The following is a 27638-nucleotide window of genomic DNA, read 5'->3' on the forward strand; positions in this document are numbered from 1 at the left end:
CATTTCAAAATGCCAACTCAAGATATTTAAAACATTTTTTATAAAAAATTGAGAAGCTTGCATATTCTTTTGTAGTTTGAGGAAACATTCCAAAGAAAAAACACTTTTTAAATTCAATTAAGAAATTTTTACTTTATAAATGACCAAGAACTAGTTTACCATATTAGATCAGTAGTTAAAGAAGTTTACCAAGGGGAATTTATACAGTAGATAGTCTAAAGCCCCAAATTATTTCAGTCTTGCTTGTTATTCTACATTTCTATATATAAAAGCATGAAGGCTAATACTTTTGTATAAAAGTAATAGATATTCAAGTTAGACTTCGATGAGGCCTAAAAAATACTGGGGCTTTTTTTTGCCGGTTTGTATAAATTCATTGTAAAAGGCCATAATTTTTTCTTTTTTCTTTTTTTTTTTTTTTGAGATGGAGTCTTGCTCTTTCACCCAGGCTGGAGCGCAGTGGTGTGATCTCAGCTCACTGCAACCTCTGCCTCCTAGGTTCACGCCATTCTCCTGCCTCAGCCTCCCGAGTAAGTGGGACTACAGGTGCCTGCCACCACGCCCGGCTAATTTTTTGTATTTTTAGTAGAGACGGGGTTTCACCATGTTAGCCAGGATGGTCTCCATCTCCTGACCTTGTGATCTGCCCGCCTCAGCCTCCCAAAGTGCTGGGATTACAGGTGTGAGCCACGGTGCGGCCTTTTTTTTTTTTTTTTTTTTTTTTTTTGGAGACGGAGTCTCGCTCTGTTGCCAGGCTGGAGTGCAGTGGCCCCATCTTGGCTCGTTGCAACCTCTGCCTCCCGGGTTCAAGCGATTCTCTTGCCTCAGCCTCCCGAGTAGCTGGGACTACAGGCGTGCGCCAACACACCCAGCTAATGTTTGTATTTTTAGTAGAGATGGGGTTTCACCATGTTGGCCAGGATGGTCTCGATTTCTTGACTTCGTGATCCGCCCACCTCAGCCTCCCAAAGTACTGGGATTACAGGTGTGAGCTACTGCCCCCAGCCAAAAGGCCATAATTTTTAAATCCTGAAATTTTAATTGCTGGGGACAAATTTCAGAGCTACCTTATTTTTTGGTTTCTTTGGACTTATTTCACTATAGCTCAGAGGTTTAAAATTATACTTGAATTTTTTTGTTATCCCAGTAGTAATTTGAGATCTTCAAAAAAGGATATTTCTCCTACTTTTATTGATTTGGACCAGAGCTTAGGTTGGAACAGAGAAGGAAAGATGGATAATGAACTGAACTGAAAATTCCAAGATCACCATAAACCTAAATCACATCTTAGAAATCTGGGAGACACTACTGCTTCTTAGGGCATGCTTGGTTTTCTTGTTGACAACTTTTCCCCCCTCATGCCTAGCAAGAGGAAAGGAACTAACTTCACAGAGTTAAATGACAAGGCAATAAAGGGAAATTAAGTGTGACTTTAGATATGCTGGTACATCAAGAACTCAAATTCAATTTGTGTGAGATATGAGGTTCTGGTGACTGTCCTGTGACTCTCCACTGTTATCACAAATCACCCCTCCCAGTTCTTCAGACAAAATAAAAGCATTAAGAGACATGGATTTCCTGGTTTTAAGTAGAAGAAAATAATAATATCCTGCATTTGTTGAGACAGGAGATCAAGATTGGGTGGGTATATATACCATTTTTCACCTATTAAAATAGCAAGGGTTATTTTAAGTGGGATTACTTCATGTTGGCAAGTGTACTGACATGGATGTGCTTATATATGGCAGGTGGGAGCATAAAAATGATACAGATTTTAGGGGGGAGGAATTTGGCAGTACTTACCATGATGCTTAAATATTACTTTGACCCAGTAATTTCTCTGCTGAAAAAGATGTTCAGTGTAGTGTTAACTAAACTAAGTTCCCTTGCCAAGTGTGGTATCTCAATACTTGTAATCCCAGCACTTTGGGAGGCTAAGGCAGAAGGATCACTTGAGGCCAGAAGTTCAAGACCATCCTTGGCAACATAGCAAGACCCCACTGTCTCTGCAAAAAACAAAAAAAACTAGCCAGGTACAGTGGTGCATACCTGTAGTCCTAATTACTCAAGCGGCTGAGGCAAGAAGATCCCTTGAGCCTAGGAGTTTGAGGCTGCAGTGAGCTATGATTGTGCCCCTGCAGTCCCGCCTGGACAACAGAATGAGCTATGATTGTGCCACTGCACTCCGACCTGGACAACAAAGTGAGACTCTGTCTCTTTTAAAAAAAGGAAAAAAGAAAAAAACAAGGGCCAGGCATGGTGACTGCGCCTATAATCCCAGCACTTTGGTAGGCCGAAGCAGCAGATTGCTTGAGCCTAGGAGTTCAAGACCAGCATGGGCAACATGGCGAAACCCTGTCTCTACAAAAAAGTTACAAAAATTAGCTGGGTGCTGTGGTGTGTGCCTGTAATCCCAGCTACTAGGGAGCCTAAGGTGGGAGGATCGCTTAAGCCTGGGAGATTGAGGCTGTAGTAAGCCGTGGTTGTACCACTGGACTCCAGCCTGGGCAAGAGAGTGAGATTTTGTCTCACAAGAACCCAAAAAACTAAGTGGCCAATAATTAGGGAATGCCTAAATAAATTATGGTAAACACACAATATGGAATACTATATAGCTATTTTTAAATGATAGTTGTGAAGAGTTTATATAACATGGAGAAATGTTTGTTCCTTTGTTAAGTGTGGGACTAAAAAGTCTGGAAGAAAATACAGTGTAATTAGGAATTTTTGTATTTATTTTCTTTTTCTTTTCAGTATTTCCAGTTTAATTATCTGAAAGGAAAGAATAAGGCCAGCCAATAAAGATTAGCTTTAATGGCTGTTCTCAAACAACTGATAAGGAAAGGAACAAAACCAGAGTACGGAGATGCAGAAGACATTATGTGTTATACAACTTGGTATTTTTTTTTTTTTTTTTCGAGACCAAGTCTCACTCTGTCACCTAGGCTGGAGTGCAGTGGCATGATCTTGTCTCACTGCATCTTCCACCTCCCAGGTTCAAGCAATTCTTCTGCCTCAGCCTCCCAGGTAGCTGGGATTACAGATGCCCGTCACCATGCCCAGCTAATTTTTATACTTTTAGTAGAGACGGGGTTTCACCATGTTGGCCAGGCTGGTCTCGAACACCTGACCTCAGGTGATCCACCCGCTCTGGCCTCCCAAAATGTTGGGATTACAGGTGTGAGCCACTGCGCCCGGCTCTCAACTTGGTTCTTTATTTATTTATTTATTTTTTGAGACGGAGTCTCTCCCAGGCTGGAGTGTGTGGTGCAATTTTGGCTCACTGCAGCCTCTGTCGCCTGGTTTCAAGCAATGCTCTTTGCCTCAGCCTCCTGAGTAGCTGGGATTACAGGCGCACGCCACCATGCCCAGCTAATTTTTTTTTTTTTTTCCAAAGTGGTAGGATTACAGGCATGAGCCACCGTTCCCGGACTTCAACTTGGTTCCGATGAGTGGTTTGGAACATCTTAGCCAGTTTTAATTTTACGTAGAATAGGTGAATGGGTGTCTTCCCTTCTTGTTCACTTCCTGGGCCTAGAACTATCCTAAGCATAAATGTTAAGGGGTTATCTCAAAACCCCTATAGTGTGTATCCATATTATTGAAACAATATTGAGTAACATTTTGTTCAAGCATTAGCCAATGTGATTGCCTTTCAGAACTCTGGGCTTTTCTCTGTAGTTTCTATATAGGTGGAGAAAGGTGGAGTTTTTTAGAGACTTTAATCACTGTAAATGTCCTTCAGAATACCTGCGAGAGTCCTAGAAATGAGACCAAAGTGGGGGAGGGGGGAACTAAAAGGAAGGGAAAGGAAGAAAGGCGGGAAGTGGGGAGCAGAAAGAAAGAAAACAAAACAAAAAACCCTGGCACCAATATGACAGCTTCAAACTGCTGTATCCCCAGGGCTAACAACATAGTACCAGGAATTTTTTTCTCTGCTTTCAGGCCTATAATGAGGAAATTTCTGTCTGACCAATATCAGGGGCACATCAGCTGCTGTACTAAGTTTCTTCAAATATCCTGGAATTGTGGTGAGTTTGAACCCGTTAGCTACCACTTCTACAACTGTTCTTGGAGTTGTGTGGATGCAGTCCCATTAGATATATATAGAATTACTGGTTTATCTGTGCTACATCTTAGTAAGCTCCCATTACTTTCGCATTAGGATTAATAGAGGTGGAATTTGAGATGTGCTTTGGGAAATGGGTATGATTTGGACACATGGAAGTGAAGAAGTGAGGGAATCAATATAAATAAGGACACAGGAAAAGTCAGAGTATACCTTTCTGCAAGTAGTTTACTGGGTTGTGGTGGCCTGTGGTTATGCTTGAAATCTTTTGGTGGGTTTTCTTGTGCAAGCAGTTTAGTAAGATATTTGAGGGGACAGAAGAGAAGAGATGGTTGGAAAGATGAATTTATACACAAGACTTTAGACTACATTCCTTAGGCAGTAGCAAACCATAGAGACTCTTTTAAATCGGGAGTGGCCTGGTATGAGTTGGGGTCTAGGACAATCAACCTGGTAACCTTGTGTAAAGGCATGAGAGAAGGGAAGAGGGTCTGGGCAAGGAGATCAGTTAAGAGGCCAGTACAGATACAAAGGGACAACTATTGTATGAGTCCACCTATGTGAGGTACCTAGAGTAGTCAAATTCATAAGGACAGAAAGTAGAATGGTGGTTGCCAGGGGATAGGGGAATGGGGAGTAATTGTTTAGTGGGTATAGAGTTTCAGTTTGGGAAAATGAAAAAGTTCTGGAGATGGCTGGTGGTTGTGGTTTCACAACAATGTGAATACTTAATGCACTGAACTGTACATGTAAAAAATATGGTTAAAATAGTAAACTTTATGTTGTGTATATTTTACAATTACAAAAAAAAAAAAAAGCAGCAGCAGCAGCAGCCACTACAGTGGCTGGTCTGAGTTAACCAAGGCATGTTGGCAGTGGAAACTGAGGGGAGTAGGTAGGCTAGAGAACAATTTCAGATGTGATTTGGCACCTGATTAGATGTAGCGGGTAGGGACAGAGAGTGGTCTGCAAAGGTTTAGAGAAGCATTTTCCAAACCTTGATCGAGCATGAGAATTAACCACCTGGGCAACCTTTAATAAAATACAGAAGAGTGTGCTTCACACCAGGCTAACTATAGTACTGGTTTAGATCCTGGGTGGCGAGAAAGATGATGATGCTAATCCTTATAACTACAAGAGTGAGCACAGGAGCAGGGGATAAAGGATAATGAAGATTAGTTCTTGTTTGGATATGTTGAATCTGAAGGATGGGGCAGCACCCAGGTGGTGGGATTGGGGCCAACAGGAGATATTGGTTCTAGAGAGCTGTGTCAAACTGGAGATCCAGCAGAAAGCTGACAGGGATGAGAGGATAAAGTGAGAAGTGCTAAAATCAGAGCCTTAGGAAACACCTGGATTATAGGGATAGGAGGAGAAAAAAGGCACTTAAAAAATAAATGGCCAGAAAGAAGGAATACAAAACAGCTGGTAGAGTGCATTGCCATACATATTGGAATGGTCGAGCATAAGGATTGAGAAAGGGCCTTTGGATTGGGTAAGAAAACATTGATAACCCTTTAGAATGCTGTTTTAATTCAGAAGAGATTAAGGAGTGAAAGGAGAAAATAGAAACAATAAGCAGAAATTGTTTTGTTTTGATTTTCAAGGAATGGTGAAGGGAGGGAAGAGCCAAGTCTGGGTTCATCAGGTCAAGGGAGTGCTTTTTCAGTTTGGATAAACTTGGTACTATTTTAGGCCAGCATTTCTTTTTTTTTCTTTCTTTCTTTCTTTCTTTTTTTTTTTTTTTTTGAGGCAGAGTTTTGCTCTGTTACCCAGGCTGGAGTGCAATGGTGCGATCTTGGCTCACTGCAACCTCCGCCTCCCCGGTTCAAGTGATTCTCCTGCCTCAGCCTCCCGAGTAGCTGGGATTACAGGCATGTGCCACCATGCCTGGCTAATTTTGTATTTTTTGAGTAGAGACGGAGTTTCTCCATGTGGTCAGGCTGGTCTTGAACTCCCGACCTCAGGTGATCCTCCTGCCTCGGCCTCCCAAAGTGCTGGGATTACCGGCATGAGCCACCATGCCTGTTAAGCCAGTATTTCTATGGAGCACTTGTGTTTCGTGGATCTTCTGCCTACCTCCTTCTTTTCTCCCCAGCCCTTTAATAGTGGAGTGTCTGCTTTCTCTTCCGTACTCACTTCCTTGCTTGTGCTGGAAGTCTTCCATTGGCTCTTCTAGGTCCGCTCCTTCTCTACATGCCATCTGTCCCGGACGCTGACCTGCGTGGACAACATCAGCAGACTTCCTTGGCCTTTGGTTTTTGTTGGGTTTGGCCAATGTAGAGCCCCAATAGGACATTGGAGGGAAAGAAGGAGGAGGGTGAGGTTGGAGCATTTATCCCCTTGGCCCCCAATTCGCAGGTCAGTGCAATCTGGCTGAATTGACTGAAAGTCACTGCTCCTCTCACATCGGTCTCTATAGGGCTCTTTTCTTCTGGGTTTGGTACCCACTCTCTTTCCTATTTCCTTCAGGCCTACATGTGGAAACAGCTAATAGCCATGGGATACTACACTCTATTTTTCCATGTGGTTTCCCTGCACTCTGCCCACATCTTCATAAGTTGTCCCTTTATTAAATCCCTTACTATCGTTTCCTGCTGGGATCCTGACTGATACAGTGATCTTATCCAGTTTCATGGCATTAAATAGCAACTATATGCTAATAGCTCCCAAATTTATGTTTTTAGCCTACACCCATTTCCTGAACTGCAGACTTATATATCTAGCTGCCTGTTAGACTTGATTGTCTAATGTATGTCTCAAGTTCCTGATCTTTCTTCTAAAGCTGTCAAGGGGAACGCTATCCTTCTAGCCTTGTTCGGGACAAAAATCTTGACATTATCCTTGACTCTTCTTTTTGCCACCCCCTTATGTAATCTGATGTAGAATCTGACCACTTCTCACCACCTCCACTACTATTCCCCTGGTCCAACTCCTATCATCTCTCATCCCTGTTAACCTGCCAGCTGGTCTTCCTGCTTTTGCCTTGGCCTTCTTTTATTCTATTTTCAACATAGTGGTCACTTGCTCCTGAAAATCTCCCAATAGCTTCCTGTTTCAGAATAAAAGCCAAAGTCCTTGCCATGACCTAAAAGGCCGTACATGGTCTGCCTCCCAGCCCCGTTACCTTTGTGACCCCATTTACTACTCTGTCCCCCTCACTTACCCAGCTCCAGTTACTCTGGGTCTCCTTACTGTCTAACACTCCTGTTAGTAACTCCTGTTACTGTCCTAACACTGTCTCCCTGGCTGGAATGTTTCTCCCAGATATTTGCATGGCCAACTCCCCCATCTCCTAAAGTCTTTGTTCAAACATCTTATTAATGGCTTACCCTAACTACCATATTTAAAATTTACAAACTGACACCCTGGGCAGCATTTCTGACCCCTTCCCTTGCTGTGTTTCATTTTCCCATTACACTTAACATCTTCCAATATACTGTATAATTTACTTATTTTATTTTGTAATTATCATACTGTACAATTGAATTTTTTCCCCTTAAGGTATACAGTTCTATGAATCTGGACACATACATAAATTCTTGTAACTGTCACCACAATCAGGATACAGGACCATTCCATGGTTTCAGAAAACTCTGTTGTGCTATCCCTTTATAATCATATCCCTTCTCACCCCTAACCCTTAGAAACCACTGAATTTATTTTTATTTATTTATTTATTTATTTATTTAGTCAAGGCAGGGTCTCGCTCTGTTGCCCAGGCTGGAGTGCAGTGGCGCAATCTCAGCTCACTGCAACCTCTGCCTCCTGGGTTCAAGCCTCCTGCCTCAGCCTCCTGAGTAGCTGGGCTTACAGGCGTGCACCACTATGCCTGGCTAATTTTTGTTTTTTTAGCAGAGGTGGGGTTTCACCATGTTGGCCAGGCTGGTCTTGAACTCCTAACCTCAAGTGATCTGCTCACTTTAGCCTCTCAAAGTGCTGGGATTACAGGCATGAGCCACGACGCCTGGCTAGAAACCACTGAATTTTTCATCATATATTTTTTTCTTTTCAATAATGGGGTCATACAACTTTTGAGACTGGTATAATGCCTTTCAGATTCATCCAAGTTACTGAGTTATAAATAGTTTGTTCCTTTTTATTTCTGAATAGTGTTCTATTCTATAGCTGTATCACAGTTTATCCATTCACTTCCATTGAAGGAAATTTGGGTTGTTTCCAGCTGTGGTACTTACGAATAGAGCTGCTAAGAACATTAGTGTACAGGCTTTTGTGTGAATGTAAGTTTTCATTTCTCTAGAATTTCATTAAATTATTAATTACATTATTATTTTTTGCATATTTTATTCACTGGCTAATAATTCTACATGCCTAAAACAGTTCCTGGTATATAGTAGGAGCTCAATAAATTAGTGAATTTGCTATGTTATTTTAGAATGAAGAGGAAGAGTGAAAGAGTCACTCTGAACTCATTCAAGGTTCATGTCACCAGACTCTAGACTGCAGTCTACTCAAACCCCAAATGGCCAGGAGACTTGAGCTGAAAGACACCTGCAAGTTGAGAATGTAAAAGGCTTTTTACTCAAAGCAAAGCAATTCCTTCCTCGTGTTTTTGGTGGTCATTTATCAGCCTCCTGACTTGAGAGAAGAGCTTGGGATGAGGTTGGAGAGAATCCTCCTGAGAGAATACTTTAACAGTGACTGTCAACATAACTCATTCCTGTGCAAAATGCACAGCCAGATATTCCACTCTGAGAATAATCCAGGAACAAACTTGCTTGCAAAAGCAGGGGAAATAATGTTGTGTGACTAACTTAGTTTCACTTAAACTCATAGTAAAGATCACCAGTTGGGGCATGGAAAAGGTAAGAGTTAGAGATAAAAAGGAACATAACGATTATATGAGAAGTTGATGTTTATAAAAGAGGTTGATCCATTTATCCAAATATGTGTGTTTGCAGCCGTAGGCTGTGTCTGCCCTATTATGTATCCTTTTTGGATAAGGTTTTTGTTTCGTTTCGTTTTGTTTATTTGTTTGTTTGTTTGAGATGGAGTTTTGCTCTTGTTGTCCAGGCTGGAGTGCAATAGCATGACCTTGGCTCACTGTAACCTCTGCCTCCCGGGTTCAAGCAGTTCTCCTGCCTCAGCCTCCTAAGTAGCTGGGATTACAGGTGCCCGCCACCACACCTGGCTAATTTTGTATTTTTAGTAGAGATGGACTTTCGCCATGTTGGCCAGGCTGGTCTTGAACTCCTGACCTCAAGTGATCCACTCGCCTTGGCCTCCCAAAGTGCTGGGATTACAGGTATGAGCCACCGTGCCCGGCCTGGATAAGCTTTTTTTTTTTTTTTTTTTTTTTTTTGTGATGGAGCCTCACTTTCTAGCCCAGGCTGGAGTGCAGTGGCACAATCTCAGCTCACTGCAACCTCTGCCACCTGGGTTCAAGCAATTCTCCTGCCTCAGCCTCCCCAGTAGCTGGGATTACAGGTGCCTGCCACCGCACCCGGCAAATTTTTATATTTTTTAGTAGAGATGGGGTTTCACCATCTTGGCCAGACTGGTCTTGAACTCCTGACCTCGTGATCCACCCACCTCGGCCTCCCAAAGTGCTGGGATTACAGGTGTGAGCCACCATGCTCAGCACCAGCCTAGATAAGCTTTAAAAAGCCAGGGTGGGCGTGGTGGCTCAAGCCTGTAATCCCAGCACTTTGGGAGACTCCGAGGTGGGCAGATCACTTGAGGTCAGGAGTTGGCAAGCAGTCTGGCCAACATGGTGAAACCCCGTCTCTACTAAAAAAAAAAAAGCCACTTAACAGGTGGGGTGCAGTGGCTCATACCTATAATCCCAGCCCTTTGGGAGGCCAAGGCGGGTGGATTGTTTGAGCTCACCAATTAGAGACCAGCCTGGGCAAATGGCAAAACCCTGTCTCTACTAAAAGTACAAAAATTAGGTGGGTATGGTGGTGTGCACCTGTAGTCTCAGCCACTCAGGAGGCTAAGATGGGAGGATGGTTTGAGCCCAGGAGGCGGAGGTTGCAGTGAGCTGAGATCATGCCACTGCACTTCAACCTGGGTGATAGAGCCAGACCTTGTCTCAAAAAAAAAAAAAAAAAAAAAAAAGAAGCCACTTGCATTCAGTTTAAAATCAGATGCTGCCTCATGCCCCAAACATGGAACTCTTCATAACCTTATTCATTAGAGCTTAGAATTCAGTAAGAATCAGTTGGATTTTGGATCCTATCCAGTGCATTATAGTTTTTGAAGCCTCAAGATTTCCGTTTACATGTCTTTCATGTTTAAAGTTTGAGCAACAGGCTGGGTGGTGGCTCATGCTTGTAATCCCAACGCTTTGAGAGGCTAAGGCGGGAGGGTTGCTTGAAGCCAGGAGTTTGAGATCAGCCTGGGCAAAATAGCAAGACCTTGTCTCTACAAAAAATTAAAAAGTTAGCCAGATGTGTCGGTGTGTGCCTATAGTTGCAGCTACTCAGGAGGCTGAGGCAGGATCACTTGAACCCAAGAATTTGAGGTTACAGTGAGCTATGATTGTGCCACTGCCCTGCAACCTGAGGGACAGAGTGAGACCCTGTCTCAAAAATAAAATTAAGATAGAGTTTGAACAAGGTCTCAGAATAAGTTTTCTTCATTTCTTAAATACGTTTTTAAAATAAATACTATGGACTTAACAAAAATTTTAAATATACAGAACAACATAAAGAAAAAAATGCAATCCTACACCTGTATATAAGCACTATTGATATTTTGATTAAGTTCCTTCCAGACATCTTTACAGGTACATGTGTGCAGTACATGTATGTGTTTTTGTCACTCTAAAGAAGAGAAGGGATCACAGTAATGCTTTTGGGGTGGGAGGAAGCCCACCTTCACGTTCAGTAAAAGGGATACGTGAGGCCGGGCATAGTGGCTCAAGCCTGTTATCCCAGCACTTTGGGAGGCCAAGGCGGGTGGATCACGAGGTCTGGAGATCGAGACCATCCTGGCTAGCACGGTGAAACCCCGTCTCTACTAAAAATACAAAAAATTAGCCGGGCGTGGTGGCGGGCGCCTGTAGTCCCAGTTACTGGGGAGGCTAAGGCAGGAGAATGGCGTGAACCCAGGAGGCAGAGTTTGCAGTGAGCTGAGATTGTGCCACTGCACTCCAGCCTGGGCGACAGAGTGAGACTGCATCTTAAAAAAAAAAAAAAAAAAAAAGGGATACATGAATGGAAGAAAGAAAATTAGCTTCAGCATCTGAACACTCAAAACAGTTTGTAAACATCAGTGTTTAATTAAATTATTTTGAGGATTATCTTCAACTATCAGGAAAAATGAAATGATTCTGAAATATGTTGTGGATTCTGAGTTGAACTGAAAGCTCCATGTGGGGGTGTAAAGGCTCTGCTTATCCAGCCACGTGTCCAGGTTAAGGCCTTAACATAGGACTGAAACAGAAGACTGTTAACTTTTTGCCATTCCCAAACATAGAAACAGATGTCCATCCACAGCTCTTCAGCCATTCTGGATGGCTAATTAGATGGGGGTATGGACTGCATTGCCATCAACTCAGATAAAATTCATTGCTCTTTTAATAAGGCAATACATAAATTGTATGTGTATGTCTGTTTTTGTTTTAGGATGTGTGTAGTAATCAGTTCAGTGATGCTACTGTGTGATTGAATGAACTGAGTAGATCGTTAAGGGTTCTTTTCTAACCACTATATTATTCAAGAATTCATTTAGAATGTCTTTAATTTCCTCCAGTTGGTAGCCCAATAGTGTACTGCCTTAAATGTTCAAAAAGCATGCCTCTGCCATTTGCAGTAACTGGAAACCTTAGGAATTTCTGCCAAAGTCCTTCAAAGCATAAAGCTGAAGTATGTATTGAAATGCTTGAGTCAGCTGCTCAAGGGTTATACTGACTGCACTCCTGCTGATTTTTCTAGGGTAAAAAAATCTCCTTGGTGACCTGAGGCAGCTACCCAGAAGCACGTGTATTATAACTATGCACAAAAAGCACAGAGATATACTACATCTAAATTCTAGCATTGGAATTGTTATATTTTTTATTATTATACTTAATTTCAGTAAATCTTTTTTAATAACGTATAAGAAAATAACTTTAACTCTTCTACTGATTACCATTAAAATTTTTTAACTCTTCTCTAACTTTCTAATTTAGGGAAGGAAAAAGAAAGGTACCTACTGTATTTATTGAATGTTTAGTATGTGCCTGAAATTTTTATTTGCTTAGTGTTACTCCCATTTTGTAGATGAGGACCTCAGAACAGTTAAGTGCGGTCACATAGCTTTGAATAGCAAGCACAGTTAGGATTTGAACAAGGTCTTCTTGATTCCAAAGGCATCTCTATGACCACATCATGCTGTAGAATGAGCTATCAACTATTAGGCCTATAAAAGACTATCAACCTTATTAAATAAAAAAACTAAGGTGCAGCACGGTAAGCATAATGTACCACCATATGTATGATCAGATATACACGCATGTGTATGTGTTTATTTTCATACATGCTTAGCATACCAGGCATCTCTTTGAATGGTTGCCTCTAGGAATGGAGACAGGGTAGCTAGAAATCTGGACTTTTATTATAAAACCTTTTATACCTCTTGAGTTTTGTTTTATGTGCATGTATTACCTATTCACAGGAGAAACTGTGTGTACCACTGTGCCCAGCCAGTTTGTCTAGTTTTTGAAACAAGAACACCATGCCTCGAGTGACAGTAATTGTAGTCATGACTGAAGTAAAACAAGTATTTTATGAGTTTTAAATTTGAACTTAAAAAAGCTTCCTATCTACTAAAAGCTTGATTTTCATTTGGGGCCACATTAATGGAAATAGAGTATTTTGAACAAGCAAGGGGGATCAGTTGAGTTGGCTTTGTGCTTATTAGATCATACCTTATCTTGAATATACTTTATTTTTGCACTTGATTTTAAGAACTGTAATGGCCTGTTTACATAGCTGTCTCCCCTGCAAGGCTGGGCATTCCTTGAGGGATAGAATCCATGGCTCATTTGCCCTTGTGTCTTTACTGGCTAGCCTAATTCCCAACACTTGGTAGGTAGCTAATAAAAGTTGATTGAGTTGAATGGAAATAGAAATACTTAGCTTAGTATGGGGAGGAGAGAGAAGAGAAAAATCTGTCTTCAGATAATTACAGAGTTCTCATGTAGAAGAGAGATTAAGTTTGTTCTATATGGCTTGAGAAGACAGGGAACCAGTGGGTAGAAGTATGGAGAAGTTTCTAAAGGTTGAATCATCTAAAGCCTAGATGGGTCTGTCTTAGAATCTATCTCCAGGGGATTCATGGCTCTTTAACTTACTTTTTTCCCCCATTTTTTGTTTGTTTGTTTGTTTGTTTGTTTTTGAGGCAGAGTCTTGCTCTGTCGCCCAGGCTGGAGTGCAGTGGCACAATCTCACTGCAGCCACCGCCTCCCGGGTTCAAGCAATTCTCCTGCCTCAGCTTCCTGAGTAGTTGGGACTACAGGCGCATGCCACCACGCTCACCTAATTTTTTGTATTTTTGGTAGAGATGGGGTTTCACTACGTTGACCAGGCTGGCCTTGAACTCCTGACCTCAAGTGATCCACCCGCCTCGGCCTCCCAAAGTGCTGGGATTACAGGAGTGAGCCACCGCGCCCAGCTCTTTCCTCCACTTTGTTATAGATATAGCATGTATGTGAATACTTTAGTTATCATTTATTATAGGAAGCAAAATTACTAACCTTCTTCTTTGATTTTTTTGTTCATAGTCAAGTTCATCCGAGAAGTAACACCATATATCAAGAAGCCATCATTAGTATCAGATCTGCCGTGGGAAGGTGCAGCCCCCCAGTCACCAAGCTTTAGTGGCAGTGAGGACTCTGGTTCGCCAAAACACCAGAACAGCACCAAGGACAGGAAGATCATCCCTCTCAAAATGTGCTTTGCTGCTAGAAACCTAAGCATGCCGGATCTGGAAAACAGGTGAGGTGTACCTAACAAGAACATCATACCTACAGCTTTACAAACTTAAGGACATGTTGCAGTATTATATGACTCTGTTAACTCAGTTATACAGAGGAAAACATCTGTCTGAGGTGAGAGATGCATTTTTGGGGTTCCACATTTTAAGTTATTCTACATATATACATGTATATGTGTAGAAAAAATTTTGAACAGACACACAAGAAACTGTTAATGGCTTTACCTCTAGGGTGTCAAATAAGACTAAAGGGGTGAAAGAAAGAGGGGGCATCTTTTCTTCCTTTTATGTCTTTCTGTAATGTTGTTATTACTTTTTTCACTATGAATATGTATTACTTTATAATTGAAAGAAGTCCATTCAGTATGATATTGGCTGTGGGTTTGTCATAGATAGCTCTTATTATTTTGAAATACATCCCATCAATACCTAATTTATTGAGAGTTTTTAGCATGAAGGGTTGTTGAATTTTGTTGAAGGCTTTTTCTGCATCTATTGAGATAATCATGTGGTTTTTGTCTTTGGCTCTGTTTATATGCTGGATTACATGTATTGATTTGCGTATATTGAACCAGCCTTGCATCCCAGGGATGAAGCCCACTTGATTATGGTGGATAAGCTTTTTGATGTGCTGCTGGATTCGTTTTGCCAGTATTTTATTGAGGATTTTTGCATCAATGTTCATCAAGGATATTGGTCTAAAATTCTCTTTTTTGGTTGTGTCTCTGCCCGGCTTTGGTATCAGAATGATGCTGGCCTCATAAAATGAGTTAGGGAGGATTCCCTCTTTTTCTGTTGATTGGAATAGTTTCAGAAGGAATGGTACCAGTTCCTCCTTGTACCTCTGGTAGAATTCGGCTGTGAATCCATCTGGTCCTGGACTCTTTTTGGTTGGTAAACTATTGATTATTGCCACAATTTCAGCTCCTGTTATTGGTCTATTCAGAGATTCAACTTCTTCCTGGTTTAGTCTTGGGAGAGTGTATGTGTCGAGGAATTTATCCATTTCTCACTCATAGGTGGGAATTGAACAATGAGATCACATGGACACAGGAAGGGGAATATCACACTCTGGGGACTGTGGTGGGGTGGGGGGAGGGGGGAGGGATAGCATTGGGAGATATACCTAATGCTAGATGACGAGTTAGTGGGTGCAGCGCACCAGCATGGCACATGTATATATATGTAACTAACCTGCACAATGTGCACATGTACCCTAAAACTTAAAGTATAATAAAAAAAATATATATATATATTAAAAAAAAAAAAGAAGTCTTGTTAAAGATAAATTTTTAAATATCTCCTTAGATGGAAATTCCTTATACTGTAGGTAGTATAGAGTTAGAGGTCTGCATTATGGTTCTGGCTGAATCAACCAGCAGTGTGACTCTGGCAAGTTAGCTTCCCTTGACCTCAGTTTCCTCATTTGCAAAATGAGAAAATTAGATTGGATAATTTCTGATGTCCCTCCTAGTTCTATAATCATATGTGTTCTATAACTTTGTCTTCATTAACTCAATGAAGTGGCACTGGTAGACCGAATGTTAGGTTAGAGATTAGTGGAAAAAATAAGATGAAAATAACTTGCCCAAAGACATAGTTAAGGACAGACTTTTTATAATGTGTTTTCACTATTATGGTCTCCTCTGATCTTAATGCACAGCCAGGTCCCTGATCAGGATGGAATGGAGCACAGAAGACACCAAGAAACTGAATGGCCTCCTTGGGTGTTTAAGGCTTTAAAGCTTCTGCTCTGTAGTATATTATGTGGTTTGCTGGAATGAACTGAGCTCTGCAGTCAGACAGACCTTGGTTTGAATCCCAACTAGGTCACCTGCTCAAAGTAGGGTTCTGAGCAAGTCCCTTCACTTCCATACACCACCATGTCATCATCTTTAAAAAAAGGGATAATGGTACTTAGTGTGCAGATTAAATGAGATAGTACCTATAAAGGCCCTTTCACAGAGCCAAGCACATATAGTAGGTTCTCAAGAAATAGTATGTTTAAAAAGTCTTAACTCTGCTGGGCACAATGGCTCACATCTGTAATCCTAGCACTTTGGGAGGCCAGGGTTAGAGAATTGCTTAAAAGCCAGAAGTTTAAGACCAACTTGGGCAACACAGTGAGACCTCGCCTCTACAGGATTTTTTAAAAAAAAATTAGCCAGGCATACTGGCATGCACCTGTAGTCCTAGCTACTTGGGAGGCTGAGGTGGGAGGATCACTTGAACCCAAGAGTTCAAGGCTGCAGTGAGCTAGGATTGTGCCACTGCACTGTAGCCTGGGTGACAGAACAATATCCTGTCTCTTAAGAAAAGTCTTAACTGACTACTATGTAAACACATTTTGAAAATTATAATCTGATGTATTTAAATTGTTGGCTTTGTTTTAAAAGTTCAAGACATTGTAGAAATTACTTTGTGCTACATATAGGTTTATTTCTGGAAGGTTGTGTGTATGTTGAATCATCTAAGTGCAACACAGCTTGATCTTTAAAGGAATTTTATATTCTTTTCATAAAGTAAGAATTTAATTTGGGCTGGGCGAGGTGGCTCACGCCTGTAATCCCAGCACTTTGGGAGACGGAGGCAGGTGGATTACTTCAGTTCAGGAGTTCAAGACCAGCCTGGCTAATATGGTGAAACCCTGTCTCCACTAAAAATACAAAACAGCCAGGCATGGTGGCAGGCACCTGTAATCCCAGCTACTTGGAAGGCCAAGGCAGGAGAATTGCTTGAACCTGGGAGGCAGAGGTTGTAGTGAGCCGAGATTGCGCCTCTGCACTCCAGTCTGGGTGACAGAACGAGACTCTGTCTCAAATAAAATAAAATAAAATAAATAAACAAATGAGATACATTTGAGCTAGACATGGTGGTGGCTCACACCTATCATCCCAATACTTTGGGAGGCTGAGGCAGGAGGATTGGTTGAGGCCAGGAGTTTAAGACCAGCTTGGGCAACATAACAAGACCCTATCTCTACAAAAAAAAAGAGAGAGACAGAGAGAAAAAAAGAGATACATTTATACAGAGCCCTTGGTCTGTTAATCATGGGCTTTTTTTTTTTTTTTTTTAAAGTTAGGGGCCTTAGAGAATTAAATAGAATGGAGAAACGATGTGATAAAGAGGAACAAATTGCAACTACATTTGTCAACTAGCTGTCAGGCTGAGAAAAGTATAGAGTCAATTTTGTTATAAATCATTTCTTTCTTTTTTTTTTTTTTTTTTTGAGACAGGGCTTCACTCCCCTCGCCTAGGCTAGAGTACAATGGCCTGGTCTCAGCTCACTGCAACCTCTGCCTCCTGGGCTCAAGTAATTCCCCTGCTTCAGCCTTCCAAGTAGCTGGGACTGCAGGTGCATGCCACTGTGCCCAGCTAATTTTTGTATTTTTTGTAGAGACAGGGTTTTGCTACATTGCCCAGAGTGGTCTCCAACTCCTAGATTCCAGCAATCTACTCGCTTTGGTCTCCCAAAGTGCTGGGGTTACAGGCATGAGCCACCGCTCCCGGCCATAAATAATTTTTGAGAATAGGTACCTGTAGTGCTGCTGATGTAGCTGGGTATTGAAGAAAAAGGCAAAACGTTATAAAGTTTCTGTAGAAACCCGGGGTTGTGGGAGTGGGCAAAGAAGGAAGGAAGAAGATGATATGACTTGGCTGTATTGCTAAACGTTGTGCTACTTCGTCATTCACTAAGGATTGAAGTCCAGTTAACCTTGGTCTTTGTTAAAACTTGGGGGCTGAATTCTCTTTGACATATTTATACACTAAAGACATTTCGTGATGGTCAGATGTGAAATAGATTTTCAGAACCAAATGGAGAGGGCAGTTTGGGGCTACAAGAATTGTACCATTATACCTTCCTTTTCAGTAAATGATCAGTCTACTCGACCATGGCATGCCATATAAGGAAAGGTCTTAGAAGATCCACGCTAGTTTTGAGATTCTCAGTCTTAATGCTGCAAAGTAACTTGTTCTAATTTTACTTAAGATATCAAAATTTGGCCGGGTGCAGTGGCTAACACCTGTAATCCCAGCACTTTGAGAGGCCAAGGTGGGTGGATCACTTGATATCAGGAGTTCGAGACCAGCCTGGCCAACATGGTGAAACCCCGTTTCTACTAAAAATACTAAAATTAGCCAGGTGTGGTGGTGCACGCCTGTAATCCCAGCTATTCGGGAGGCTGAGATAGGAGAATTGCTTGAACCCAGGAGGTGGAGGTTGCAGTGAGCTGAGATTGCAGCACTTTGCAAAACTCTGTCTCAAAAAAAAATTTTTAAAAATAAAAAATTTTGCAAATGATTTGCTTTTTGTAAAATATAAATTGGAAGAGATTCAAGGTTATTCCTATGTTGATACCACTTATACTCGCATTTCCATGCGTTTTTTAGACATAAAAGTAGTAGGATTACAAGGAGTTTGCAAAAAATATGCATAACTTTGGCTATACTCATGGGAATGTGAACATCTGTGTGTCTTGGCAGAAAAAATGTACAGAACCATTAACTAATTAGACCTCAGTTATGAGAGAAGATAGAATTTAGGAAGATAGGCTTCGTAATGTTGGTCAAGCTACTTGTTTTCCACAAGCCTTGCATTTCCCCTGTATAAAATAAGATTCTAGGAGGATTAAATAAGACAATATTAACTTCTCAAGTTATTATTATAGGCATTGTTAGTGTCCTTGTGACCTTAAATAAGTTCCTTAATTTCTCTGTCCTCCTGTTTTCTCTGTAGAATGGACATAATATCTGCTCAACTATGTACTTTAGAATGAGAATAAATAATATCTATAAAATAACTCAGGGCTGGGGGCTCATGCCTGTAATCCTAGCACTTTGGGAGACTGAGACGGGCAGATCACTTGAGGCTGGGAGTTTGCGACCCTGTCTGTACTAAAAATAACAAAAAATTGCCCAGGCATGGTGGCACACACCTGTAATCCCAGCTACTCAAGAGGCTGAGGCATGGGAATTGCTTGAACCTGGGAGGCGGAGGTTGCAGTGAGCCGAGATTGTGCCACTGCACTCCAGCCTGGACACACCAGGTGACAGAGTGAGATTCTGTCTCAAAAAGAAATAAAAATAAAATAATAAAATAACTTGGAGCTCATTGGTCCTTAAATTTATCTCAGCTCTGTTAAAGGAAATATCCATTTGTTTATCTGTTTTTTTTTTTTTTTGAGACGGAGTCTCGCTCTGTCGCCCAGGCTGGAGTGCAGTGGCGGGATCTCGGCTCACTGCAAGCTCCGCCTCCCGGGTTCACGCCATTCTCCTGCCTCAGCCTCCCAAGTAGCTGCGACTACAGGCTCCCGCCACTACGCCCGGCTAATTTTTTGTATTTTTAGTAGAGACGGGGTTTCACCGTTTTAGCCGGGATGGTCTCGATCTGCTGACCTCGTGATCTGCCCGCCTCGGCCTCCCAAAGTGCTGGGATTACAGGCGTGAGCCACTGCACCCGGCCTTGTTTATCTGTTTTTTATTGATAGTCACTTGAACAATTTCCAGTGTGGAGTTAGTATTAATAAAGTTACTGAATATTTTTGTAATGTCCTATTTTTTTTTTTCTTCTGATTTAAAGGCCTCAGAAACATTTTCATTTCTGTTGGGTAAATTTGTAGGAGTGGAATTGCTGGATAGGTGCATGTTTAGTTTAAAAAAAAAAAAAAAAAAAAAAAAACTAGGCCAGGCACAGTGGCTGACGCCTGTAATCCCAGCACTTTGGGAGGCCGAGGTGGGCAGATCACCTGAGGTCAGGAGTTCAAGACCAGCCTGACCAACATGGAGAAACCCCGTCTCTACTAAAAATACAAAGTTAGCTGGGCGTGGTGGCTCATGCCTGTAATCCCAGCTACTCGGGAGGCTGAGGGAGGAGAATCGCATGAACTCGGTAGGCAGAGGTTGTGGTGAGCTGAGATCGTACCATTACTTACACTCCAGCCTGGGCAACAAGAGTGAAACTCCGTCTCAAAAACAACAACAAACTGCCAGGCTGGGCACAGTGGTTCATGCCTGTAATTCCAGTACTTTGGGAGGTCGAGGCGGGTGGATCACCTGAGGTCAGGAGTTTGAGACCAGCCGGGCCAACATGGCAAAACCCCATCTCTACTAAAAATAAAACAATAAAATAAAATAAACTGCCAGACTTTCTTCCAAAGTAATTGTGCCATTTTATGTTCCTGCCAATATATGAGAGTTTCCATTGCTCCACATCCTCACCAAAAGGTGTCAGTCTTTTTAATATTTACCTTTGTGATGGGTGCGTAGTGGAATCTTTTTGTGGCTCATCCTTCATTCTTATCTAAAGCCTTCACTTTCTAAACCAAAAATGTGTTTGGTATTAGAGGGAAATACCCTTTTTTTCTGCTTTACTGCTTTGATTTAGTTCCATAGAGCTGAGAAAAAGTAAAAAGTGCTAATGATCAGAATGAGTAAGTACAGGGGAAGAGGAATTTTACTCCCTTCCTCTACCTTGAGTTTTCAAGACCTCACTGGATGCATCTTGATGCATCTGGTAATTATACGTATTTCATTCTGGAAAGCGAACACTTATTAAATAATGATGAAGTCCAAGGAGAGAACATGAGCCCCTTCCTTAGCAATCAGTATTGTAGGCAGTGTGAAGTTTAGGAAGAACAAGGTGTTCTTAAACACTCCTTTCGGAAATGTAAATCCGTGTTCTTTGCATTGGTTCACAGTGCCTCAGTCATCTTCACATTGGCAATTTTCCATGTAAAAGGTAAATTTTGCCTTTATAATGTGTACAATTATATGATTATTACTAAGTTGAACACATAAGTTATATCAAAGGCTTTGCTAAACAGGAGAAGTAAAGTAAGCTAGACTTACAGAATCCTGTGTACCTAAACATTGATTTGATTCATCTGATCAAAATGTTAATTGCATTTCTCAGAAAATCCTCTCGTTTGACAAGAGGCCAAAACTTCACACATAGCTGTCTCCTCTTCTCCCTTGTGGACCCAAATGATTACTGGCAGATTGTCTCCATATTTTTATTAGCAAAGTTTTCATTGGAATTTTCTTTTAAAATAGCAGTAGGCTTTACAAATTACTTTGTCCCCTTTGTCAGTTTTTTTTTTTTTTTTTTGAGATGGAGTCTTTGTCGCCCAGGCAGGAGTGCAGTGGCACGATCTTGGCTCACTGCAAGCTCCACCTCCCGGGTTCACGCCATTCTCCTGCCTCAGCCTCCCAAGTAGCTGGGACTGCAGGCGCCTGCCACCACGCCCAGCTAATTTTTTGTATTTTTAGTAGAGATGGGGTTTCACTGTGTTAGCTAGGATGGTCTCGATCTCCTGACCTCGTGATCCACCCACCTTGGCCTCCCAAAGTGCTGGGATTACAGGCGTGAGCCACCACACCTGGCCCCCTTTGTCAGTTTTAATGGTTTCTTCAAAGGTGGACTCTTTTGGATCCTAGACTCATCGGTCCTATTTTGGAGCTTCTTTGCTGTTTCTTTTAATTTAATTTTCTATTTCACAATCCCTTTTCAAGAAAAATCGCAAAATTTTTCTTTTCATAAAAAACTGGTTAACTGGCCGGGCGTGGTGCCTCACACCTGTAATCCCAGCACTTTGGGAGACCGAGGCGGGTGGATCACGAGGTCAGGAGATCGAGACCATCCTGGTTAACATGGTGAAACCCCATCTCTACTAAAAATACAAAAAATTAGCCGGGCGTGGTGGCGGGCGCCTGTAGTCCCAGCTACTCGGGAGGCTGAGGCAGGAGAATGGCGTGAACCCAGGAGGCGGAGCTTGCATTGAGCCAAGATTGTGCCACTGCACTCCAGCCTGGGCGACAGAGCAAGACTCTGTCTCAAAAACAAAAACAAAAACAAAAAAGCTGTTTAACTGTCAGTGGGAAATAACTCACTATCTATTCTCATCTTTTTTCAGCCCAGTGGTCCCGGTATCTACTTGTGTTTAATCAGGCTTAGTTTTATTTTATAACAGATTTATTTTCCATTCTCCCAGTTATTAATAACTAGGATCTGAGACATCAGGATTTTCAGAACTCAGACTGTGTCAAAGGAGGAATGTCTGAGAGATTGTCCTAGGAATTGTATGATGTGTAAAGACTTTCAGAAGGTGAACATTCTGTGCCTCGAGAAGGATGAACTGATTCCTATCTGTAGTGCTAAGTAGGTCAGTAGGAGGAGTGAAGGAAATTTCTGGTCAAGGTTTTGCAGCTGAACTTTTAGCATGTGCTTAAAAGATGTTATACTGGTTACAGTGCCAAAGCAACTAGATGGAAATAAATAGTCCCTCTAGAAAATAGTCAGCCTGATATACGATCTGAAATAAGGACATCATTGCCTCCCCCACCCAGTTTGGTGGGATGAGGGTGATTCTGAATCTTCTGCTAGAATGAGGGTGGGGCAGTCACTGGCCACTGGATGTGGAGAATGCTGACAGGCTTTCAGGCATACCACGCAGAGTAAAGCTGCATGCTTTACTCTCACTTCCAGAGGTAACTGGTACCACCGCTTCCCCGGCCTCTTAGGGATTCTCCAACATGGATTGGCTGGGATTTGGCTCTTTCCACTTTTCTTAAATCAGCTAAGTCATTTAACTCCTCTCTTTACTAGCTTCCAAAATTTTGTTGTAGTCACTCCTCTCCTGTTCTTGGATTTGTAAGATTATGCTTTTTAAAAAATCCCCTTTAAGTTTGGTGGTGACTTCTTACATACAACCCCAAAAGCACAATCCATAAAGAAAAAACTTGACAAGTTGAACCTCTTTAAAATTTAAAACTTCAGCCCTGCAAAAGACACTGAAGAGAATGAAAAGACAAGCCACACATTGGGAAGAAATCTTTACAAAATACATATCCAATAAAGGACTGGTATCCCAAATATACAGAGGGACCAAGCACAGTGGCTCATGCCTATAATCCTAGCACTTTAGGAGGCCAGGGCAGGAGGGTCACTTGAGCCCAGGAGTTCAAGACCAGCCTGGCAACATAGTGAGACCCTGTCTCTACAAAAAATTTTTTTTTAAAGTAGTTGGGTGTGGTGGTGCACATCTGTGGTAGTCCCAGTTAACTGGGAGGCTGAGGTGGGAGGATCACTTGAGACCTGTATGGTCAAGGCTGCAATGGGCTCTTAGGATGGAAGAATTTCTGCCCAGTAATCTGTGTCCCTACTGATGACTTCTGTGTGTAGTCTCATTCTTCTTGCATTCAATTAAATCTCACCAGGCCATTTCTGTCTTTATTGTAATTCATCTCACATCCCACCATAAAATTATTTTATTATTATTTTTATTTTATTTATTTATTTTTTAGAGACAGGATCTCGCTCTGTCACCCAGGCTGGAGTACAGTGGTACTATCATAGCTCACTCTAGCCTCGAACTCCTGTGCTCAAGAGATCTTCCCGCCTCAGCCTCGCTAGTAGCTAGGACTGCAGATGTATGTCACCATGCCTGGCTGATAAAAAAAAATTTGAGGGCCGTGCACAGTGGCTCACGCCTGTAACCCCAGCACTTTGGGAGGCCAAGGTGGGCGGATCACGAGGTCAGGAGATCGAAACCATCTGGCTAACATGGTGAAACCCCGTATCTACTAAAAATACAAAAAATTAGCCTGGCATGGTGGTGGTGCCTGTAGTCACAACTACTCGAGAGGCTGAGGCAAAAGAATGGCGTGAACCTGGGAGGCGGAGCTTGCAGTGAGCCGAGATCACGACACTGCACTCCAGCCTGGGCGAAAGAGCCAGACTCCGTCTTAAAAAAAAAAAAAAGAAAGAAAGAAAAATTTTTTGTTGGGGCTGGGCACGATGGTTCATACCTATAATCCCAATACTTTGGGAGGCTGAGGCGGGTGGATCACCTGAGGTCAGGAATTTCAGACCAGCCTGACCAACATGGTGAATCCCCCACTCTACTAAAGATACAAAAACTAGCCAGGCTTGGTGGCACTTCCCTGTAATCCCAGCTGGGGAGGCTGAGGCAGGAGAATCGCTTAAACCAGGAGGTGGAGGTTGCAGTGAGCTGAGACCGCGCCATTGCACTCCAGCCCGGGCAACAAGAGGTAAACTCTGTCTCAAAAAAAAAAAAAAATTGGTTGGGGTGGGGGGCGACGCAGTGGCTCACGCCTGTAATCCCAGCACTTTGGGAAGCTGAGGCGGGCGGATCATGAGGTCAGGAGTTCGAGACCAGCCTGGCCAACATAGTGAAACCCCGTCTCTACTAAAAGTACAAAAACTAGCCATGCGTGGTGGCCGGCGCCTGTAGTCCCAGCTACTCGGGAGGCTGAGGCAGGAGAATCGCTTGAAACCAGAAAGCAGAGGTTGCAGTGAGCCAAGATCGGGCCACTGCACTCCAGCCTGGGTGAAAGAGCGAAACTCCGTCTCAAAAAAAAAAGTTTTGTAGAGATGGGTTCTCACTTTGTTGCCTAGGCTGGTCTCAAACTCCTGGCTTCAAGTGATTTCCCCGCCTCAGCCTCCCCAAAGTGTTGGGATTACAGGCATGAGTCACTGTACTTGGCCTAATTTTTTTTAAATTGTAAAATACACATAACATGAAATTTCTTAATCATTTTTAAGTGTACAGGTCAGAAGTGTTAAGTATATTCATATTTTTGTACAACCAATGTCCAGAAATTTTTCTTCTTGCAAAACTAAAATACTCTACTCATTGAAAAACTCCCCATTTCACCCTTCCTTCAGCTCCTGGCACTTACCATTCTGCTTTCTGTGAGTTTGCTCTAGATACTTCATGAAAGTAGGCTCATATGTTATTTCTTCTTTCGTGACTGGCTTATTTTACTAGTATAATATCCTCAATGTTGATGCATGTTGTAACATGTGTTAGGATTTCTTTCCTTATTAAGGCTGAATAATGCCATTATATGTATATACTGCATTTTGTTTATCTGTTCCTCCATTGATGGACATTTGGGTTGCTTCCACCTTTTGGCTATTGTGAATGATGCTGCTATAAACATGGGTGTACAAATGTCTCATAAAATTATTTTTTAAGTTAATTGTTTTGATCATGTTGCCCTCCTGTTGAGAATTCTAAATGATTCTATGTTATTAATAGTTACCAATTAAGGCCAGGCACAGTGGCTCACGCCTGTAATACCAGCACTTTGGGAGACCGAGGCAGGCGGATCACTTGAGGTCAGGAGTTCGAGACCAGCCTGGCCAACATGGTGAAACCCTGTCTCTACTAAAAATACAAAAAATTAGCCAGGCTTGGTGGCATGTACCTGTAATCCCAGCTACTTGGGAGGCTGAGGCAGGAGAATCGCTTGAACCCGGCAGTCAGAGGTTTCAGTGAGCTGAGATCGTGCCACTGTACTCCAGCCTGGGCGAAGAGCGAGACTCCATCTCAAAAAAAAAAAAAAAAAGTTACCAATTAATATTCAGACCTAACCTGCTATTCAAGATCCTCTAAATTCTGGAACCAAGCTATGTCTTAATATGTTTAGGTATAGAATAGGAAATCAAAGAGCTCATCAGAACTGTATCTAAATAAAAAGCAAATAGCTTAAAACTTTTTATCTGAAAGTTTTCCTCTGAGTAACATGAACTTTCAAATATGGACTTTTCTTAAGCCCTTTGGCTGTTCATGACTCTTATTTATTTATTTATTTATTTATTTATTTATTTATTTATTTATTTTCTTGAGACGGAGTCTTGCTCTGCTGCCCAGGCTGGAGTGCAGTGGCATGATCTCGGCTCACTGCAAGCTCCGCCTCCGGGTTCATGCCATTCTTCTGCCTCAGCCTCCCGAGTAGCTGGGACTACAGGCGCCCACCACCACGCCCGGCTAATTTTTTGTGTTTTTAATAGAGACGGGGTTTCACCATGTTAGCCAGGATGGTTTCGATCTGCTGACCTTGTTATCCACCTGCCTCGGCCTCCCAAAGTGCTGGGATTACAGGCGTAAGCCACCGCGCCCAGCCACAACTCTTATTTTATGTCTTCTATTTTCTAGAACTTTTGTCCTATTTTGCTGTTACCATAGAACTTTGACAGCATATAAAAGATGGATAGACTGGTAGGTAGGCCTGGAAGTAGCTAGATGATCTACTTTTTTCATCACTGTATCTCCAATACCAGTGCCTAGCACAATATTTGGCATGTAGTAGGTGCTCAATAAATGTTTATTTAAGAAAGGATAGACCAACCAGAATTCAAATGAAAATGAATATTTGCAATACAAAATATGACAATTTAAAGTATTTGGAGTTATAAAGGGTTTAGAAACTGACAAAAGAGCTTCAAAGCAGAAATGCTAGTATACTTGTAAATTGCTTATCTTTTTGACAAGTGGCATAGAATCTGATGATAGTGCTTTTAGGCAGCAAAAACTGTCTTCAGAAAATAATGTAAAGAAAACTCTCTCCCTGGTCATTGGCAGTTTGTCAATTTGTAGCCTACCATGAAAAACACTAAAGGCTTTTTTTTTCCATTTTAAAAGATATATATGTTCACAGCAGAGTATATATCTTAGTCATTTATTTATTTATTTGACTTTTAAAATTCATCTTTGCAAGAACTTTGATTGAAACACAAAACAATATTCAATAGATTGCTTTATAAATAATTTTTTCAATGTATATTTAAAATATTTTAGCTATTTTCTAAAGGTTACTTTTGAAATACAGATTGCTCTTGGTGAGCATTAATACAGAACAGTTATAGTGTTGATCTCTTAACTATTTTTCTACCTAATTCACTGGAGGAGTAATCATATAAAAGTACCCAAACACAGTTTCAAATTTTACAGAGTAATAATCTTCTGCTAATTTTCTTGTTCTTTCTTTTTTTTTTTTTTTTTTTTTTTTGAGAGGGAGTCTCGCTTTGTCGCCCAGGCTGGAGTGCAGTGGTGCAATCTTGGCTCACTGCAACCTCCAGCTCCTGGGTTCAAGCAATTCTCCTGCCTCAGCCTCCTCAGTAGCTGGGATTACAGGCATGTGCCATCACGCCTGGCTAATTTTTGTATATTTTAGTAGAGACAGGGTTTAGCCATGTTGGCCAGGCTGGTCTCAAACTCCTGACCTGAGGTGATCTGCCCATCTCAGCCTCCCAAAGTGCTGAGATTACAAGCGTGAGCCACCATGCCTGGCCGCTAATTTTCTATTTATTTCACATAATGTAAATTTCAGTTCATTATATGGCAGTACATCTTTTTAAGCTGGCACTACTTTATACCAGAATTTCCTAAATGCTTAAAAGGGTATCAGTTCCTTCTTTACAGTGTGCCTATGTGGTTCAGCAAGCATGCTTTTCATTTTTTAGACATAGAAATTAAGGCAAAGTGATCTACTGTAGACTCTACAGTAAGTTCCCTCAGCTTATTACATTAACACCGAAACGACAGATCCAGCAGTTGGTGTTTCTTTTTTTAATTTTTTCTCAGGTTCAGTAACTAGCCCAAGTTGGTCTTTCTGATTTTTTTTTTTTTTTTTTTTTTTTTTTTGAGACAGAGTTTCGCTCTGTCACCTAGGCTGGATCTCGGCTCACTGCAACCTCCACCTCCCTGGTTCAGGCAGTTCCCCTGCCTCAGCCTCCCGAGTAGCTGGGATTACAGGCACACGCCCCAACGCCCGGCTAAATTTTTTGTATTTTTGGTAGAGTCAAGGTTTCACTGTGTTG

General features: G+C 41.8%; 1 protein-coding gene across 4 annotated transcripts in view; it reads left to right on the top strand.

The window, feature by feature from the left end:
• SNTB2 (syntrophin beta 2) overlaps window positions 1-27638 on the top strand; it is a 121889-nt gene that overhangs the window by 44639 nt on the left and 49612 nt on the right. For 3 of the 4 annotated variants that reach the window (NR_172090.1, NR_172089.1, NM_006750.4), the window contains exon 2: window positions 13800-14013. Coding sequence is in view for 1 of the 4 variants with exons in the window: in NM_006750.4 (NP_006741.1) it covers window positions 13800-14013 (214 nt within the window). In the remaining 3 variants the exon portion in view is untranslated. Of the gene's footprint in view, window positions 1-3945; window positions 4032-13799; window positions 14014-27638 lie in introns of all 4 variants that reach the window. The other variant, NR_172088.1, reaches the window with a different exon arrangement.

The sequence above is a fragment of the Homo sapiens genome, chromosome 16 (assembly GCF_000001405.40).
Source record: "Homo sapiens chromosome 16, GRCh38.p14 Primary Assembly".
Classification (NCBI taxonomy): domain Eukaryota; kingdom Metazoa; phylum Chordata; class Mammalia; order Primates; family Hominidae; genus Homo; species Homo sapiens.